We start from the raw sequence: 18,859 nt of genomic DNA, 5'->3' as shown, positions 1-18,859 counted from the left end.
GTTTTTCTGCATAACTTTGGATTTTCCAATTCAGTTTACTTTGACCCACTCTTTACAGTTTAAGCATGCCAGGTGGTAACTCGATGGCTTCGCATCTTAATGATCGCATCTATGTGCATAATTCTTTGGGGTTCGTGGAGCAGTTTCACATTCATTATCTTGTTTGGTCCTTAGTAAAACTCCTTCTTTATTTTCAGCACTGAAGAAGTGGAGTCTCAGAGGTCACACAGCTGGCATGTGGCAGAACCAGCCACGCCATGCCGCCATGCCGCTTTGAGGACCAGTGACCCTCAGGGACTTAGCAAAATGCCATCTTCAAAACAACTTGTCAAGATCCTCACGGGCAGTCAGTGTCATGTTTTATATCGCGTACAACCTGCAGCACAGGGCGCAGCAGGCGTGAGTGCCACTGTCTAGGGACTCTCCATACCCTCCAGCCTTCAGACGCAGGAACGGGAATCTCAGCCAGCTGTCTCCTCTGTCCCAGGTTTCTCTCCAGTCTCACCTGAGGTCGAAAAGTCCGAATGAAGTAGGTGATAGTCCATTGATCTGAAGGGCATAGTGGCTCATGGGATTTTGCTGAGTCTACACCAGGTGTCAAAGAGTCTGGTGCCCAAACCTTGGCAAGTGCACGTGACTGATTACCTCATTGTCAGAAAATGTGGGAGCCCGGCAGCGCTTGGGACCACCTGGCTCAGACTCTTCATTCCAGACCAGACCACTGAGGCCCGGGAAGCGGGGTCCACTTACAGGACGTCGGAAGGCAGTGGGCAGGAACTGGGCTCCTTCCTGCCGGGCCAGCTTTTCGGAGGCTGGCACTGGGGCTTCGGGACTTGAGGACCTGATCGCTGCGCAGGCCACGCGCCACCCGCAGAGGGCACCCGCGGTCCGCCGCGTTCCAGGGCGCGGGCTCTGGGGCTGGCCTCTCTGGCGCGCGAGGGTTTGCTGAGATTTAACAGAGGGCCGTTACACTCACAGTGTAAGAACAGACTGACAATTCCAGGGCGCTGGCTTTTATGAAAATAGGAAACGCCACGATGCACTCTAACGTGGAGATGGGTTCGTCTGTGACAAGAGGAAGCCTGTTTGAAAGGCAGATTTCGGGAAAATGTAGGGAGGCAAGAGCGTTGGCCGAGCTCCTCAGAAGTCCCTGAACAGTTCTGTTTTCCAGGGCGCCGTTCACACTGAGATGAGACAGGTGGAAAAGAGAGCTCGCCCTTCTTGCATTGTCACACGGAGCGGCCCTCTCCCTGTGCAGCGTGGAGTCCCCTGGGCGCGGGCGAGGCTCAGGCGGGACGCGGCGGAGACCGAGCTTGTCCCTGTGTGGACCCGGGCAACTGCCGGTGGGCGAGGCCTGGATGGTGGCCAGGCCGCAGCCACCCGGACGTTTGCGAGCGCCGAAGGTGGGCCTGGAGGCGGGGACCTGGCCCTGCGGGGCCGGTGCGTGCGGGGCCCGGCTGAGCCGCCGGCTCCACCGGCAGGGAACCCGGCTCCCGCCTTCCCGGCAGGGAACCCGGCTCCCGCCTTCCCGGCCACACCGGGAGTGTGTGAGGGGGGACCCTTGGCCGGCAGGGGGCGCTCTCGGCCACTCCATCCGCCCGGTCACCGCGGGATCCCGCTGCTCCATCCCGCCGGTGCCGCCGTCGCGCCTCCTCCCGCAGCCCAGCTCTGCCTCCGCCTTCGCTCCCCGACTCCTCCCTTCTCCCTCTCAGTCCCGCAGGGAAGCTGGGCTGGGCGAGAGGGTGTCTCCTGGGTCCACCGTGGAAGCCCGAGGCGCGGGTGCGGAGCCAGCCCAGGGCTGCCGGCGTGAGCTGCAGGGCTGGCCTGGTGCTCATCCTCTGCCCGGGGCGCGGGAAAGGCGAGGGACGCTGTGCTGGATCTGTGTGCTCAGTGGCCATGCGTCGGCCTCAGGACTGGGAACGAGGCGAGAGACACAGATGTGGGTGATTTCCCTGTGGAAGCTGTACCCGAGGCCGTGGGAGTGGAGGGCACTGGGCTGCGAATGGAGACAGGATGCCCCGAGGGCCCGGGAGCGGGAGGTGGAGCGGGTCCCAGACGGCAGGGGCTCGGAGTGGGAGGCAGCGGGACTGGGAGAGCCGCGCTGGGGCCGCAGGGGTGCGCAGGGAGCTTCCTGCCCTTTGCACCTCAGGCTCCGGGAGCTGATTTGTTTCACCTTGGGCAGGTGCAGGATCTGCGCTTGCAGCCACCTTACTTCGTGGGCTGTACCTGAGGTGACAGGCAGGGTCTTCTCTGATGAAGTTACCCACACGAGTCACCACGGGATGACGGTGAGCAGGTGCCACGGAAGGTAACACTGAGCGCATGCGGTTAAAGGACAAGAGGGAAAGGGTGAGGGCAGACCAACGGTCATTTTCACAACTCTTCTATGTTAGTCAGGGTTCTCTAGAGGGACAGCACTGATAGGATAGACCTATATATGAAGGGAAGTTTATTAAGGAATATTGACTCACACGATCACAAGGTGAAGTCCCACAATAGGCTGTCTGCAAGCTAAGGAACAAGGAAGCCAGTCTGAGTCCCCAAACCTCAAAAGTAGGGAAGCCAACAATGCAGTCTTCAGTCTGTGGCTGAAGGCCCGGGAGCACCTGGCAAACTACTGGTGTAAGCCCAAGAGTCCAAAAGCTGAAGAACTTGGAGTCCAGTGTTTGAGGGCAGGAAGCATCCAGCTCGGAAGAAAGATGGAGGCGGGAAGACTCAGCCAGTCAAGTCCTTCCACGTTTGTCTGCCTGCTGTTATCCTACCTGCACTGGCAGCTGATTAGATGATGCCCACCCAATTGAGGGTGGGTCTGCCTCTCCCAGTCCACTGAAATGAAATGCTAATCTCCTTTGGCAATACCCTCACAGACACACCCAGGAACAGTACTTTGTATCCTTCAATCCAATCAAGTTGACACTCAGTATTAACCATCACACTCTGCAAGGAAGGTGTTTTATGTCCATTTTATAGAAGAGAAACTGAGGCTCAGAGAAGTTGTTATTTGTCCAAGATTACAGAGCCAGCTTCTGGCCAACCTTGAGCGATTCAAAAATTGAAGCCCCTTCCACTAGGTCCCACTGACATCTGGATTCCACCTGACTACTGGCTGCACAATTTCCCCTTAAGTCAGTTCCTCTGTGGTTGTGCCCAGCTGCCCCGCTTGGTAGAATTATCCAGTAGACATTTTTCAGTCCTTGTCTTCCACACCATCCCTCTGGTGTTTGACCCAGATCGTGCACTCCTCACAATGTTCCTCTCCTCTGACTCCTGCAAAGCTGCCTGCTTGCTTCTCTGCCTATTTCTCCTCAACATGTTTCATTGGCTTTCTCCTCACAGTCCACCTATGGTTGCTAGTGCTCTCAAGGTTATGTTCTTAGATATCTTCTCCTTTAACTTCACATGAAGAAGCACAAACCACAGTGGCATCATGGGCATGGAGGGAATAGTAACCTAAACAGCCAATGAATGTCAGATCCAGGAGCTGCTGGAAGATGACACAGATGCATGGCCCAAGTGAGGGGGTGGTGGGGAGAGAGGGTAGGAGCGTTTGTGAGCAATGAACCAAGCCATGTCCAGACGTGGGCTTAGGCAGAAAAATGGGGAATGTGGGGGTCCCAGGAAGCTAGCCCTTAGGAAATTGTTTTGGGTGGATTGGGGAATTTGACATGCGGAAGCTTAAAACTTACATTACTAAAGTCATGCCCTTAGGTTAGGGACTATTTTGAGTAGACACTTCAGGAAGCCTGAAGTGTCAGGGCAGCCATCAGGAGCTTGCTTTCCGTGGAGCTCTTTGAGAAAGGGCCCAGAGGGTTTGAAGTCCAACAGTCAGGATTCATAGACACTGGGGATAAGATTCATGGATCACAGTGGGACAATAAAAATTGCTTTTCCCCTGGGGCATGAGGGAGAATCTCTAGGAATTTGCAGAGAGCACTTACAGAATGACACATGGTAACACTCACATGCCATCAGCCCAGCTCCAGAAGGACTTAAACTTTTTCACAGAAAGAACAGAAAATTGGAAAGAGCAAAGCTCCCTTTCAGAGGCAGCTGGAAGCCTCTCCTCCCAGTCTGCAAGTCCCTGGGGCTCTTCCTGTCCCTGCTGCTCTGCACTGGTGTTCCAGAGGCAAACATGGCCCAGGAGCCACATTCAACCCACCATCTCCTCTGGCCAGCTTTTAATAGAGGGTGTTTCAGCTTAATTTTTAGTCAAGAGCAGGCCCTGGGACCCTGAGATCACTGAATGTATTTGGCATTCAGTTATGAAATGAGCCCCTTTAGACAGACCTCGGACTTCTTAGTGGCATCCCAGGCCCTCTATGCCCTTAACTTAGGCTTGTGATGAGGTATCCTTGCGTCTGCTGGTCTTCCTAAAGAGGACCAGCCCCTGGAGGCAAACCTCATTGACTAATCCAGGTACTCTTTCCAATGTGCGGGAGGCCCCCACTAGGCTGCAGTTCTCAGCTGACTGGAACTGACGCCTCAGAGGAGATGTGCTGACCCACTGAGCCCTAGATCTTTCTAGACGTGTTTTTACTCCACCCTACCTTCTCCAGCTCTCTTTGCTCTTGATTTCTGATTTGTGGCTTTGGGCTCCTAACTCTCTATTTTTTCATATTGTTGTTTCTGCCTAGAATGCTCTCCCCATCACCCGACAACTCCTCAGGTCGAGAGTACCTTTTCAGACCTCAGGCCTCTGTGACACCAGACAGTGGCACAAACTCATGCTTCCCTCAGTTTCCACAGAAAACCATGGAATCAAGGAAAGACAAACATGGGCAAAGGCACAGTAGGGTAAAGCAAAAGACAACCACACCCCAATCTCCAGGAAAACTTTCACTGATGTCAAGGTGAATGGTAATCAATTGCCAAGTGTACCTCAGCCTCCTGAGTAGCTGGAACTACAGGCACAAACTACCTTTAGAGATGGAGTCTCATTATGTGTCCCAGGCTGGTCTCGAACTCGTGGCCTCAGGCCATCCTCCTGCATATCTGGGATTACAGGCACAAGCCACTGCACCTGGCCCTTCCTTCTTAACTAGTACAGGAAGGTGGAGAACTTGGGGACACATTCCCAACCAGCAAGAATGCAGTCCATGTGGGCTGGAGACATTCTTCATGCCCTGTTTTCATACATTGTGGCTAGCCCAGAGAGATCTCTCCACTCAGGGATGAATGAGCACATCTTTCTTTCACCTACCAATCACCAATCACCCGCTGCAATACACCATGCAATCTCTGGTGTGTTTTAAGCACAATGATTCAGCCCACCCTGACATGGGTCCCCCCAAATCTTTACCCAAACAGGTCCACTCCAAACCACGTTAACAAGCCACGAGACCTTTATCAGGGATTTTGTAGGTGTTCAGTGTAGAGGGTTTATGCTGCAAACCCTATGGTATAACTTCACTTAAAAACCCTCCAGGCCGGGCGCGGTGGCTCACGCCTGTAATCCCAGCACTTTGGGAGGCCGAGGTGGGCGGATCACGAGGTCAGGAGATCGAGACCATCCCGGCTAAAACGGTGAAACCCCGTCTCTACAAAAAATACAAAAAATTAGCCGGGCGTAGTGGCGGGCGCCTGTAGTCCCAGCCACTTGGGAGGCTGAGGCAGGAGAATGGCGTGAACCCGGGAGGCGGAGCTTGCAGTGAGCCGAGATCCCGCCACTGCACTCCAGCCTGGGCGACAGAGCGAGACTCCGTCTCAAAAAAAAAAAAAAAAAAACCCTCCAAATATATCTTTTCCCCTGGATTCTCTCCTGGAGTCAGCTGCCTCGTTTTCCTCCTAAGAATCTCTGTGTCTGGGCCTCTCTGGCTGGGCTGCTGCAGCCCCTGACTTCCCTGCACAGTTCCTCTTAGTCTCTCCCATTTGCGTCTTCATCCTCATTTGCTGCTGGCCTAACATAGATTGTCCTTGGGATTTGACCCTGTGCTGGAGGCTACTGGCACTCTCCCATGCCTGCCCTCCCTTCTCTCTACAATAATGCATTTGGAATTTTTAGTTGGGTGAACAACCACCCAGAGTAGACTCTACTTCCCAGTGAGGTGTGGCCGTGTGAATCACTCCGATGGGACACGAGTGACATGTGGACACCAGCTCCTAGAAGGGCACTGAAGAGCAGCGACACACTCCTTCCCAGCCCTTGCCTCCTTTCTCCGGGAATACTGTGGTTAGACTCAGGACAGCCCCCTGGAGGCTGTGTGCTGAAGCTCTGTGCCTGAGCCGCAAAGAAAAAATAGAACATGGGCCCCTGATGGATGATTCGACCTTTTATTTCAACTTAAAAAAATGTTTCCAAGTTTTCTCTGTTGTATTTTTTTCTACATGCATTATTTTTTTACCATCCGTAAAAAAATAATTTGAGGCCTATTTTAAATCTTACTTTATTGACTTCCATGATTTTCTCCTATCACAGAAAAAATAAAATAATTGATAACTAGATTCTGAAAATATTTTACAGTTTTGACAACAGGAGTTTGGAGTCCTGGCAGCAGAGGTCCCATTTGGGCCCCTGATTTTCTCTCTCCAGGTCTTCAAGTCTTTAACTGAGCCTTGCGTCTACTGGCCCTGCTCTCCTGCAAACTATTTGACCGTAGGATTTCCCTTCACCACAACATGTGAGGAGCAAAGGAGACAAAGTGAGGGGAGTCAAAGGGTGGTGTTGGTAGAGAGAGAAGAGTCAGTTGCTCCTGTATTCCTGCTTTTTGAGGAGCCAATAAAATGTTTTTTTTAGGCGGAAGGTAGTTACTGGGCCTTCTACTCATTCATGATCAAACCTGGACAAAAACCTGAAGTGCTGCCTCTGCTTCTCATCCTTGTACAGGGCTCAGAGCCCAGGTCCAGGCTCTTTGACTGCAGGAGTGGGAGCTGGGGTCGAGGAGACAGACTGTACTGTATGCCGACCTCCACATTATGAGGCCTGCTCCACTGGAAATCGTCTGGAGGGAGCTGTAGTCACAGCTCTCAGATGGCCAGGCATGCCTCCTTCCTTTGCAATCTGCACAGTCCTCTCCTGGAGGAATGTGGAGAGATCGCTTTGCCGGAGCCTCCTCACTTAACCTGAAACTCGGGTCATGGTCTGAAGGAGGCAGTTCTGCGTCACTCTTAATGATGAAACCAGAGGAAAGAGGCTCTTACTGCTCTAGTTTTCTAAATTTCAAAGATGCAAAGTCTCAGCAAACTCAGAATATAATTGAGCTTCCCCAGGAAAAAGTCTGCGTAGTTCTGGTTCTCTGGCTCTTCTTGATCTTTCTACCCAAGGAGGTCCTATTCACAGAACCATATATATCTCTTGCTAATCTCTCAAGTTAAATGATAAATATTATTTAATTACAAACCATTGTGCTAGCTGCCCAGGGTAAAGAGTTTGTTGTCTGCAGAAGCTCATGACCTAGAGAGAGACAGTCACATGAGTGAATATAAGGGCAGGAGCTACCACAGATATACTAGCAGAGTTCAGCAGGCGTGTGGCTAGTTTGGTTGGGAGGAGGAGGATGCTTGGGTCTATGGAAGCTTTATAGAGAAGGACTGGGTTGTGAGCCAAGTCCTATGGGATGGATGGCAATAAAGACATCCCAGGCAGCAGAAACAGCTTCTGGAAATAGTGAGCCAAGCAGACATTGGGATATGAGGTGCATGAAGGATGATGATGGTGGTGGATGTCATCACACAAAACTAGAAATCAGATGGGGCTTCGAACACCACAGTCTATGCAAAGGATAATTCTGTATAATTTCAGAAAACAAAAGTGACATGTAGGCATCTGTGTGTCAGATGAAAGAGGAAAATGCAAAGACCATTTAGGAATGGTGCTGGCGAGTGCAAAGGAGACCACAAGGGAAGGACGTGCAGAAGACCTTCCGCACTCGGCCGGCGGGTGCAGCGATGGTGATGGTGTGGACCAGCTGAGAACCTGCCCTGCTGTGCCAACCCCACTCCACTAAAAAGGGCAGCCAGTATTTTCCTCCCACACGCTTTGATTGCTTTTGATATAATGACAATTCGTAATATTTTTATAGAGTAGAAATATTCAGTCCTTTCTTTACTAAGGTTGCTCAAAATTTTGTTTCTTTTTATTTCTTTGTTTGTTTTGAGACAGAGTCTCGCTCTGTCACCCAGGCTGGAGTGCAGTGGTGCAATCTCGGCTCACTGCAACCTCCGCCTCCCGGGTTCAAGCGATTCTCCTGCCTCAGCCTCCTGAGTAGCTGGGACTACAGGCGCCTGCCACCAGGCCTGGCTAATTTTTGTATTTTTAGTAGAGATGGGATTTCACTATGTTGGCCAGGCTGGTCTTGAACTCCTGACCTCGTGATCCACCCGCCTTGGCCTCCTAAAGTGCTGGGATTACAGGCACGAGCCACCGTGCCCGGCCCAAAATTTTGTTTTTTATTGATAGTGTAGAAAAGGAATGGTTTTATTTTTGCAAATTTTACAAAAATATTAGTCATGTGAATTTAAGGCCAAGGGCTTGGAAGCCACCCATGCCAGTGAGGGCCTTGAGACCTCTGCTTTCACTCCTCTGTATCTTTCTTGAAAACTACTGCAAGGCTGTAACCTGGCAAAAACAAATAGCAAATTTTAAAAAGCTGTGCGATCCAGGAAATAGTGGATCTAAACCAAGAGAACTCTGAAGAGAAGTTCCTGGAAGACAGTAATGCACCAGTCCTAGGAAGCAGTGAGTTTTCCTCAATGTGGGAAAAGCAGAGCTCTTTCCCCAAACACACAACACAGCTATGTGAAGATACCAGAAGGCTCCCATACAGAAGCTCAACTACAAATGGCCAGTCTATACTTAGGACTCATAAAAAGGTCACACCATGAAAAGAAACTACATTTTTCAGCACAGAACTGCTAAGATGGAGAGGAAACCTGACCCCAGCTGGCACCCTGCTATCTCTGATAGCTAGGAATCCTAAATTATGAATCAGAGCAGAAAAGGGATTAGTGCAGTGATCTGGTAAATATTTTATTTCCCATTTTGACTTTGATTAATAAATAAACAGTGATTATATTTTATAAAGAAATAACTTTGATTTTGGAAAACTTATGTCTGCCCCCATGAGCCTGACAGTTTTGCAATACCTAATGACTTCTCTGATGAGATAAGCAGTGGCATGAACAGATGTGATTTGTGGTATCGTATAATGAAATGTGACAACATTTGAAAAAATTCATAACTCAAGGATCCAGTATTTTCCAAATGACCAGTGCATTTTGCTACAAAATGCTGCTTGAGTAAAAGATCTATTCAAGCTGCAATGGATATGAGTGTGACAGAATAAGAAGCCTTAATTGACATGGTTTCACGTTCCACATCGCAAGGAACCTTTGATAAACTACTATTTTTGCGTTTTGGTGTAATATCAAAAAGAATATCCACAATTACCCCAAAAAGATGAATACTCTTCCCTTTTCTGGATTTTATGCAAATATTTCAATCATGATAGCATACCACAACAGATTAAAGATATTTGTGAAAACATAAATGTGCCACTCCCCTTACTAAATTTTCATTTGAAAATCATTATTTTTTAAAATAATTTTTTCATTTATGTTAACGTGTAGTTTATTATTGTTATTTTAAATGAATTAATAAATACTTGAAAAGTTTCTTACCTTTAATTTCTACTTCAGCGAGTACTGATAGATTTAAACCACATAACCAAAGCTCTTTGGAGTCTTTAGTAATTTTTTGAATACATTTTATTTAGCACAATCTCTACCATTTAAAAATTAGGTGTTTATTCCCACCATCCTCACCTCTATTACTGTTTTACTTACAAATACTCCTAGAAACCTCTGGAGATTCCTTGTATGCCTCCTCCTGTAGACATATTGCACTGACATAGCATTGAAACCCCCATGTAGGGTCATGTGGGGAGAAGGCTCATTGTCCCTCCCGGGCCTCAGAGAATTGCAGAGGCTGTCATTTTGCAGACACACAGGGGCGTGTGGTGCTATTCTTGACATGGAGCTTCAACAACAAAGCTCGGCAAAGCACAAAATGCAAAATAATCATGTAAAACATTAAGTGGCACATTATCAAATCACAGCTTGTAAATAATGCTGTTATTGTAATTCTCAGGTTCTCAGAGAATCATAAGTTCAACAGAGGAAAATGGCTCATGAGACAAAAATGTCCATGTGTTGCCTGCTCTGGTAAGATCAAACAAGTATTGAAGCCAAGCAACAGGGTTGGTCCAGTTTGTATTTGTGCTGACAGGTGGGGAACGTCAACTCCGGGAGCGCTGGAGTTTTCCCATGGTTGGTTTCTGTGCCATTAGCATGCCCTTGCAAGTGATCACAACTAGAATTGTTGTTACTGCTCTTCACGGGGTCTTCAACATGAGTTGTTGAATTGTGATAATGGGCCCTGTCAACTGAGTTTAGTTCAGGCGGGCACATAGCTGTCTGATCTAAAACTGAGGTTTTTTTTTTTGTGGTTTTGAAAAGGTTCATTAAAATCAGGGCTGGGTGTTGTGGCTCACACCTGTAATCTCAACGCTTTAGGAGGCCGAGGCGGGCAGATCACCTGGGGTCAGGAGTTTGAGATCATCCTGGCCAACATGGTGAAACCTTGTCTCTACTAAAAATACAAAAATTAGCCAGGCGTGGTGATGCGTGCCTGTAATCTCAGTTACTTGGGAGGCTGAGGCAGGAGAATCGCTTGAACCTGGGAGGCAGAGATTGCAATGAGCTGAGATTGTGCCACTGCCTTTCAGCCTGGACAACAGAGAGAGACTCCGTCTCAAAAAAAAAAAAAAAAAGATTCATTAGAATCCAGACTTGCAAAGTGTGTCAACTTATGGCAAAACATATGACATCCATCTCAAAACCCTGCGTTTTCATTCAGTAACTTTGCAAAGCACTGCAGTAGTTGATGTTGTAGGGTTAGAACTTTGTTCGCGTGATACTGCTCAGCTCCTTTGGGTGCGGCCCATCTGGGTTCTGACTCATAGCGGGGCTCTGAACTCCTTCCTCTTGGCATTTGGCTGATAGGCATTAGATATTCTTCTTATTAGGAAAATTCTAGAAGTGACTGCAAAATAACTCCTATAAACTACAAACTGAATGCTGATCACAGGCTGAGCCCTTTCTGATGAATTGCAGTCACAGTGATGAGGGTCGGCTGAATCACCAAGGCAGTGAAGTGTGGAATCCGGGCACCAGGATACACATTCCACGCTCAGCTGGACTGCAGTCTGGAATACTGCCTGGGTTAGAAGCAGCACATAGCTGGACTTGAATCGCAAATAGCCCACATAGCCTGCGTAGACTTTGGTCATATAGTGCACGAGAGGTCAAGAGCCTGCGTTGATGACTGAGGAGACTTCCAGAGCCCACTCTCCAGGAGACTCCAGTTGATTTTCACATAGCCCACTGCACAGGCAGCCACAGCCCTACCAAATGCTTCAGTAGCTTCTGTGCCCCGTTATAGGTATAAGAATATTGGGGTGGTGCTTTGCAACCTCATAGGACTTGAACATAGTTCAAAGCTAGGTTAAAACCTGTGGTGGAAAAAGCCCACCGTGGGGATTAGTAACAAAGGCCTCTGAGGAGTAACACTACTTCAAATCTTGGAACCATGGAACACGAACTTTCAGAGTCACTGTTTGTGGCACTATGCTCTATGGGCCGTCATCCAGGTTCCCCGAAGTGGTGGGCTTTTCCCAAGTGGGTTTCTCCCCTTCGCAGCCTAGTGCTTCACTCTCATGAGGTTCCTTTAACCCTGCACACAGGCTTGGGGACTTTATTTCTTTGCTGGGTTTTGCATGGAAAAACATTCTTTTCTTGGGCATTGATAGAAAAAGTGAGAAAATGAAGGCTGTGGAGGCAGAGACTATGGCTATGCGATGAGGTAAAAGTGTGACCCATTCTCCAGGGATGCCAAGCGTCAGCCTTCATGGGGGCCGCTGGGTTAGCTGTTAGCGTGACACTCCTACAGTGGCCTCTCACTTCCTGACAGTGTCTCAGGGCTGACCATGCTCATGGGTTGATAGAGTAGGCCACCTGGGAGTCAGTGAGTATCCTGGAGGAGAACTCGACAGCCTGTGTAGTCTTCATCCCTTAGCCCAATAAGAGCAGCAGCTGGGGAATGATGAAGCAGAGCCCTTATGAGAGGGTGATGGGCTTGTGGTGACTCAAGAGCACAGACACCGGGAGCAGAGTGTATCCAAACAGGAAGGACCTCATCCGTGATCTCTGCGCTCGGGTTTTCACTTGGTCCAGATAAATATGGGATAAGGAATGATTCTGGGGGTCTTGTCATGGAGAACAATCCGAGTAAGCAGAGGAGCATAGTGAGATATGTTGAGGAATTGCTTGGCAAAGTTCTGAAACCATCCACAGCTGTTTCTTCCATGCCCTGAGTTTCTTTCTTTCTGGAATCAGGCCTTCAGATCCAATTTCTGCTCATTCCGGCTACTGGCTGCTACAAATCCCAGACACAATGCCCTTTTCTCCTGCTGGAATCTCTCGTACTCCTTCACGTAATAATTTTAAAGCATGAACAGGGATCTTGAGATCAAAAAGTTTAAGAATTGCTGTGTTGGACAAGTATGCTTGGAGGAAAACATTTATTTTCTTCTTGACAGATTCTTCAAAAACATTAATTTGTTAATAAATTGGGAGTCTCCTAGGGTGAGAATTGTTAAATCAAACTAAATTTGGCCTGAGGCTGCCTCTGTACCTTGAGTTTCTAGTGAACTGCAGGTTTTCCAAAATTTTAGTGTTCATTAAAAACCTTGAATTTTCTCATTGGCAACTAGAGTTATTTTCTTTAAAGCAACAGGCCCAGTTTGTTCATTTCTGAGCACATGTCTGCCTAACATCCAAGTGTAAATAACATATTTGTCTGTCATTCATTCTTTAAGTGAATTTGGTATTCCATGAAAAAGCTGGCTAGCTTCGCTTGTAAATCAAATTTAGCGGCCGGGGGCAGTGGTTCATGCCCGTAATCCCAGCACTTTGGGAGGCCAAGGTGGGTGGATCATGAAGTCAAGATATCGAGACCATCCTGGCCCAACATGGTGAAACCCTGTCTCTACTTAAAATACAACAATTAGCTGGCGTGGTGGCACATGCCTGTAGACCCAGCTACTAGGGAGGCTGAGACAAGAGAATCGCTTGAACCCGGGAGGTGGAGGTTGTACTGAGCCAAGATTGTGCCACTGCACTCCAGCCTGGTGACACAGTGAGACTCCGTCTCAAAAAAAAAAAAAAAAAATTTAGCACAAGTGCTTTTCCTTAGGATGATTGCCATGGCTCAGCATTCAGCAGAAGTACTTTATGCATGCGTTTCTCCAAAGATGATATACAAATGGCCAAGGAGTATATGAAAAGATGGTCAGCATCACTGACCACCAGGGAAATGTAAATCAAAACCACAAGGAGCTATCACCTCACACCTGTTAGGATGTCTAGTATTAAAAAAACAGAAACAACAAAGGTAAGTGCTGCAAGGATACAGCACAAAAGAACTTCTCTACTTTGTTGGTGGAAATACATTTGATACAGCCATTGTGGAAACATCATGGAGGTTCCCCAAATATTAAAAATAGAACTGCCATGTGATCCAGCAATCCCACTACTATACACCCAAAGGAAATGGAATCAGTGTGTCCAGAGACACCTGCACTCCCATGGTCACTGCAGCACTACTTACAACAGCAAAGATACGGCATCAACCTATGTCCACCAATGGAAAAGTGGAAAAGGAAAATGTGGTGCACATACATGAGACAATGTGACTCATCCTTCAAGAGAAGAAAATCCTGTCGTTTGTGACCACACAGATGAGCCTGGAGCACATTATATTAAGTGAAATAAGCCAGGCACAGAAAGACAAATTCTGTATGATCTTACAGGCAGTCTGAAGTGGTCACACTCATAGAAGCAGAGAGCAGAATGGTGGTTACTGGGGCTGGGCAAGGGTGAGATAGTCAAAGGCACACAGTTTCTGCTGTGCTGGCTGAATAAATTCTGGAGATCTAATTTACAGCAAGGTGTCTGTGTCTAATAGCTCTGTACTGAGTGCTGAAAATTCACTAACAGTGTAGATCTTACATGGAGTGCTCTTGTCACAAAGAAATCCCCAATAAAACAGTAATAATAGCAAAGGGGCAGGAGGAACTTGGGGAGGGGATGGATGTGTTTATGGCCTTGGTGGAGGTGATGGTTTCTAGGCTGCATGCGTATCCCCAGACACATTGTGATGTACACATGAAATATGCACAGCTTTGTACAAGTCCATCAGCCCTCCATACAATGGTTTAAAATAAGACAATGAAATTAATAATTTTTGGCACTTTGTCAAGAACATTCTTCAGTGGACTGACCTTCTTTACTATTGTTGTTGCTATCTGATTGTTGACTACGGTGCATGCGTTGTGAAGAGTGCAGTGCCCACCAGAACAGCGGGCACCGAGGCCCTGACTTCTGCAGAGGCCCTGGCGGCCATGCCCATCAGGGTGAGGGTCAGCATGCGACCTTTCCACCCTTTATTCTGTAATTACTAGTTGGCATTCAACTTGAAGGAAGTCCTTTCACTTTTATTTATTTGTCACTATGGACTCATGAATCCTGTTTACCCACTGGTTTATAATCTTTTGCCATCATCATTTATTTGGCTCTTCAGATTGTTACGAATTTGGCCAGAAAGTCCTGTGGAGCTCACCCTTGTCTGCTGCTTTCCGCCCCATGTTTCTGCCTCTGGCTGCAGACGGGCCTTCTGTGCCTGTCACCAGCTGGCTCCTATCTGGGCATCAGGCTCTGAAGCCACAGGGCTATATGGTGGCTGGGCCTGCCGCAAGCCCTCCCTGTACCCGGCCTGGAAAAGCTGAGCCATGAGGGAAGAGGTCCTGCTCCCTCACTTGGCATTTTCTCTACCTTCAGTTTCATTTGGTCTCTGACTGGAATGGGATGAGTTTGTAACACAGTGCAATATTTTCATTTCAGGACATTCAACAATATTTATAATATTGTACAATTTTGGCCCATGTACTACTGAAAAGTTGTTTCAAAAGTTGTTTCCACAGACTCAACAAAAATGGAGATGCATGTCTAGAAGACACTCCCTGGCAGGACCCTCAGGGTCACTCCTAAAGTCTCCTTGGCACTGACATTGGACAGGGCATTGATAATATATTGACTGCTATAGCTGCCAAGCCAGAAGGGCAGTCTCTGTCTTCGTGGAGTCCGAGTTGTAAGTTGGACGAGAGATACAGTAGATCCACACGAAGAGGAAAACATTGGATTCATGCATTTTGTTCTGATTTTGCCCTTTTTGTTTGTTTGTTTTTTGTTATGTATTCCTCACTGACGTCTGAATGGACAAGGATAAAGAAGTAGTGACAATAGGGAAGGGAGAGCACTACTGACCGGCACTCACTGGGACCAGGCCTCATGCTAGCCTTGTCACACTCTCTCTCACTCAGTGTTCACTATGAACCTGCGAGGTGCGTGCCCGTGACCCCTCCTTACAACCACTTAGGGCTAACCCCCTGCTTTTACAGCTTTTCCTATCACAAATAAGAACCTACGTGGCAATGACTAAAATTTGCATTTACAACTGCTCCTGGGACTCACAGTGGCAGAGGTGCCATGCCTGGTGGGGTTGGCCAGCATTAGGCAACCCGTCCCTGTGATAGGAACATGACTGGCTGAACACGAGGCAGGAAACCTCTGCTTTCAAGAGTGTGTGATCAGATGCAGTGACTCCGTGTTCCTCTGAACCACGTGTTATTTCAGCAGGAGGCACACCTCTCTTCTGCGTGCTCAAGGACAGGTGGGAGAGACATCCCAGGTGGTCAGTGGGAGCAAAGGACAGGGCGGTGGCTTTCAGCGGGCAACTGGCTGCTGTAACATCAGTGACTGAGGAGGTGCAAGTGGCAGCCCTGTGATGACGCAGCCAGCAATGTCTCACACACATCTCCTGCAGTCTGTCACGCCAGTCATTGGCGGCATTATCTTCATTTCATATGTGAGAAAAACACAGTGCAGCAGGGTAAGTCAATTGTCTGTGATCACAAGACTGCCTCGGGTTGAGTCAGGATTCCAGCCCATGTGTGCCCAAGGCCAGTGTTCTCACTGGATCACACCAGTGAAGATATATTTAAAAGAGAGAAAAACCGAAAAGAAGAGGCAGAAGGAGAAAGGCCTGAGCAGGTGTGGCAGGGAGGATGAAGAGGAGCAATCAGGAAAACATGAAAATGAGGGGGTCTGGGTGACTGGCCAAAAATTGCCAGAAGTCATGTCTCTCTTCTTTGCCTTCATGGGTGAAGAAAAGGAACTTCCTCATCCACGAACTCAGGTGTACTGCTGTAAAAGGCTTCAGCACGCATCTCTGCCTGGCATTTCGTGATTTACCCTGTTTCAGGCTTGCAGCAGGAGGGCGGAGCAGATTGATCTGTTGACGGTGGGATTCTCAATTCTTCACAGCACAACGAGCGCAAGCCTGGCATCCGTCCGGCAAGACTGAACACCTGCGGCCCCCTCCCTACCCCCTGCATCTCCATGGACAGAGCCACCTGGCTCTCCTGTCACCTTGCCGAGACACTTCTGACTCCAGAAAATCTGCTAATAAAGCTCAGCCTTGTTCCACAGTCTCAGCTGGAACCCTAGGTGGCTGGTCTAGCACCACCCTGGAAGCCAGTGGCTTTTCGCTGTCCTGGGCAGGCACTTGGCCTGACATCCGCTTCTTCCCCGCTGCTGTGTAGAACACCCCTGACATAACTAACTCCAGCCTAGAAAACACTCCCATTTTATATTTCACAAACACTCTGCCAACAAGGATAAGACGTTTTGTCTAAATAAACAAATAAAAAACAATAGACAATAAAACAACAACATAAATAAAACAAAAACATGAATACACAAAAAATAAAGACTGCATCCAACCAGATAAGGGCACAAACACTAAGCCTTTGGCAGCTCCAAATGGTCATCTTAACTGACACTGTCTTGCAGTCACTCATGGTGAGAACTTGGCATCTGCCACTGAAGGCTCTGCCACCTCTAAGACTCTTCCTTCCAAGACTGATGGACCACTTGGCCCAGAAAAGGACTCTTTTTGTCTTCTTCGCTTCCCCTGGACTGGCTCGTTAACCCTTTTTACTATCTCCTTTTCCTCTTGCTGTTAAATGTTACTTTGTTTTTTGCAGAATATGGACCCTGTAATATTTACAGATTGATGAAGTATGGTTTGCAATATTGTCTGACTGGTGGAGTGGCCTGAGCCTGTGTGCCCATAGCTCTGACTGCTGAGTGAACAAGGTGTACTAAGGAGAATGCCTCCTTGGGAACTCCATGGAGCTCCTGGCTTTAGTGACTGAAATAGCATCAGTAGAAGTCTGATATTGTGGAAAGACACAAACGTGCATGGACCTGGTTATTTCTAACCTTGCACTGCTCATGACATCTGCTCTCCACTCCTTGACCAAGTGGACTGAGGGAGAAGGAAGGGAGGGAAGGCACAGGCAGCCACTGCGTTTTGTTTTTCTCCCTTTTGGCCCCTTGTTCTGCTGCCATAATGTGGTTATTGCTTTTCACCAGAATCTGAGTTGTCCTATGAGGCGGATACACTTGGTTCCCCAAATTGAAATCCAAACAGCTGTATGTCTTTTCAGCTTATGCTTCTTTCCCACTTATAAAAGAGACTCACATTTTACATAATACTGTGCATGGCATTGGGGGACCCTTATGGTTTATGGTTTTTCTAATGTTTGGGAACAGGCGAGAGCACTGTGGGCATTCTATAAAATATTTACCTTGAATTGCTGAGAAGAAAGCTGTGCCTGCATATTAAAAAGTCCTATTTCCTTCTAGATGAGTTATTTAAAAATTACTAAGCTCATTTCCACAGAATCATTACAGATTTTTCTATGTGACGAAGCCACCCCAACTGTCGGGTCTTTATTTCATGTAGGTGTGTAAAAATCGCTCCAGTGGTGAATTGGAAACTCGCAGTGCCAGGAAGTGCTTCCACAGGCTTAATGCATCTCTGCTCCTCTTTTTTCATAAAAATTCAAAGGTAAGCAGAACTGCTCCTTTTCACCCTCTATGTGCAGCTCATCACAGAAGTGCAGCCATAACTGAGTCACTTGTCAATCTTTTTCCTCCCAATTACAGTGTTTAGACGGGGGATGCTGAGAGAGAAGCCGGTTTGCTGGGAGGTGCGAGCCCAGAGCACACGCTCCACCTAGACTGCGGGCAGTGCCCCACCATGAGGAGCTCAGCAGTTTCTTCACGTGGTGTTTTCCACCATGCAAAAACATCCAAGATCTATTGTTTATGTAGCTTGTACTTTGGGTCAGGCCCCGGTTCAATTCCTAACAGTGACATTTTGTATTTGTGTGACTAATACACGTGTTATTAAGAAAGTTACTACTGTCTTTAAGATGCAGTTTCCTCATCTGTGAAATGGAATATTTGTGTATTCCATATGTTATATAATATTACTGTCTGCTTAACCTTGGCATAGTGTTTGAAGGACACAAAGCCTGAGTCCAGCACAGAGCAGGTGCTTGATGAATATCCCAGACACGGAGGAAGGCAGCATCTCGATTCCAAGTTCTTTTCCTGTATATACATTTATATCTCTCTGAATAGGCATCTGCATTTGTTTCTTTTATTATAGACAGGTTGTCTGATCTCAATCCGTTAGAGATGGGGTAGCCTTAGGGACCCTCTGGTCCCACATCTCACTGTACAGGGGATGCAGGATTTGCCAAGGTCCTACCCATTAGTGAGTAGCAGAGCCTGGATGAGTTCCTCGGATCAGGAGGAGGTGGTGTGCTCCTGTCCTCCTGTGAGATGAAGCCATTCTTAATCAGAGCCTCGGATCAGGAGGAGGGGCTGTGCG

General features: G+C 47.9%; 1 long non-coding RNA gene and 1 pseudogene across 1 annotated transcript, besides 3 other annotated features; one reads left to right on the top strand and one right to left on the bottom strand.

Moving 5' to 3' along the window:
* Positions 919-968: a silencer, noted in NCBI's record as "silent region_18187". NCBI's record gives its function as "represses an Ori minimal core promoter by ATAC-STARR-seq in GM12878 lymphoblastoid cells {active_cell/tissue: GM12878}" and the evidence as "EXISTENCE:reporter gene assay evidence [ECO:0000049][PMID:35858748]".
* ELDR (EGFR long non-coding downstream RNA) lies at positions 955-18,154 on the top strand. Its single transcript, NR_110426.1, has 4 exons — positions 955-1,059; positions 1,172-1,403; positions 17,924-18,028; positions 18,127-18,154. It is a non-coding gene; the product is annotated as an EGFR long non-coding downstream RNA (long non-coding RNA).
* Positions 1,279-1,838: a silencer, noted in NCBI's record as "silent region_18186". NCBI's record gives its function as "represses an Ori minimal core promoter by ATAC-STARR-seq in GM12878 lymphoblastoid cells {active_cell/tissue: GM12878}" and the evidence as "EXISTENCE:reporter gene assay evidence [ECO:0000049][PMID:35858748]".
* LOC100130121 (solute carrier family 19 member 3 pseudogene) lies at positions 10,909-12,343 on the bottom strand (annotated as a pseudogene).
* Positions 15,234-16,433: an enhancer, noted in NCBI's record as "BRD4-independent group 4 enhancer chr7:55307850-55309049 (GRCh37/hg19 assembly coordinates)". NCBI's record gives its function as "activates an origin of replication core promoter dependent on BRD2, P300/CBP, MED14 and CDK7 cofactors, and independent of BRD4, by STARR-seq in HCT116 cells {active_cell/tissue: HCT116}" and the evidence as "EXISTENCE:reporter gene assay evidence [ECO:0000049][PMID:35650434]".

The sequence above is a fragment of the Homo sapiens genome, chromosome 7 (assembly GCF_000001405.40).
Source record: "Homo sapiens chromosome 7, GRCh38.p14 Primary Assembly".
Lineage (NCBI taxonomy): Eukaryota > Metazoa > Chordata > Mammalia > Primates > Hominidae > Homo > Homo sapiens.
This window is presented reverse-complemented; position numbering and strand designations above follow the sequence as displayed.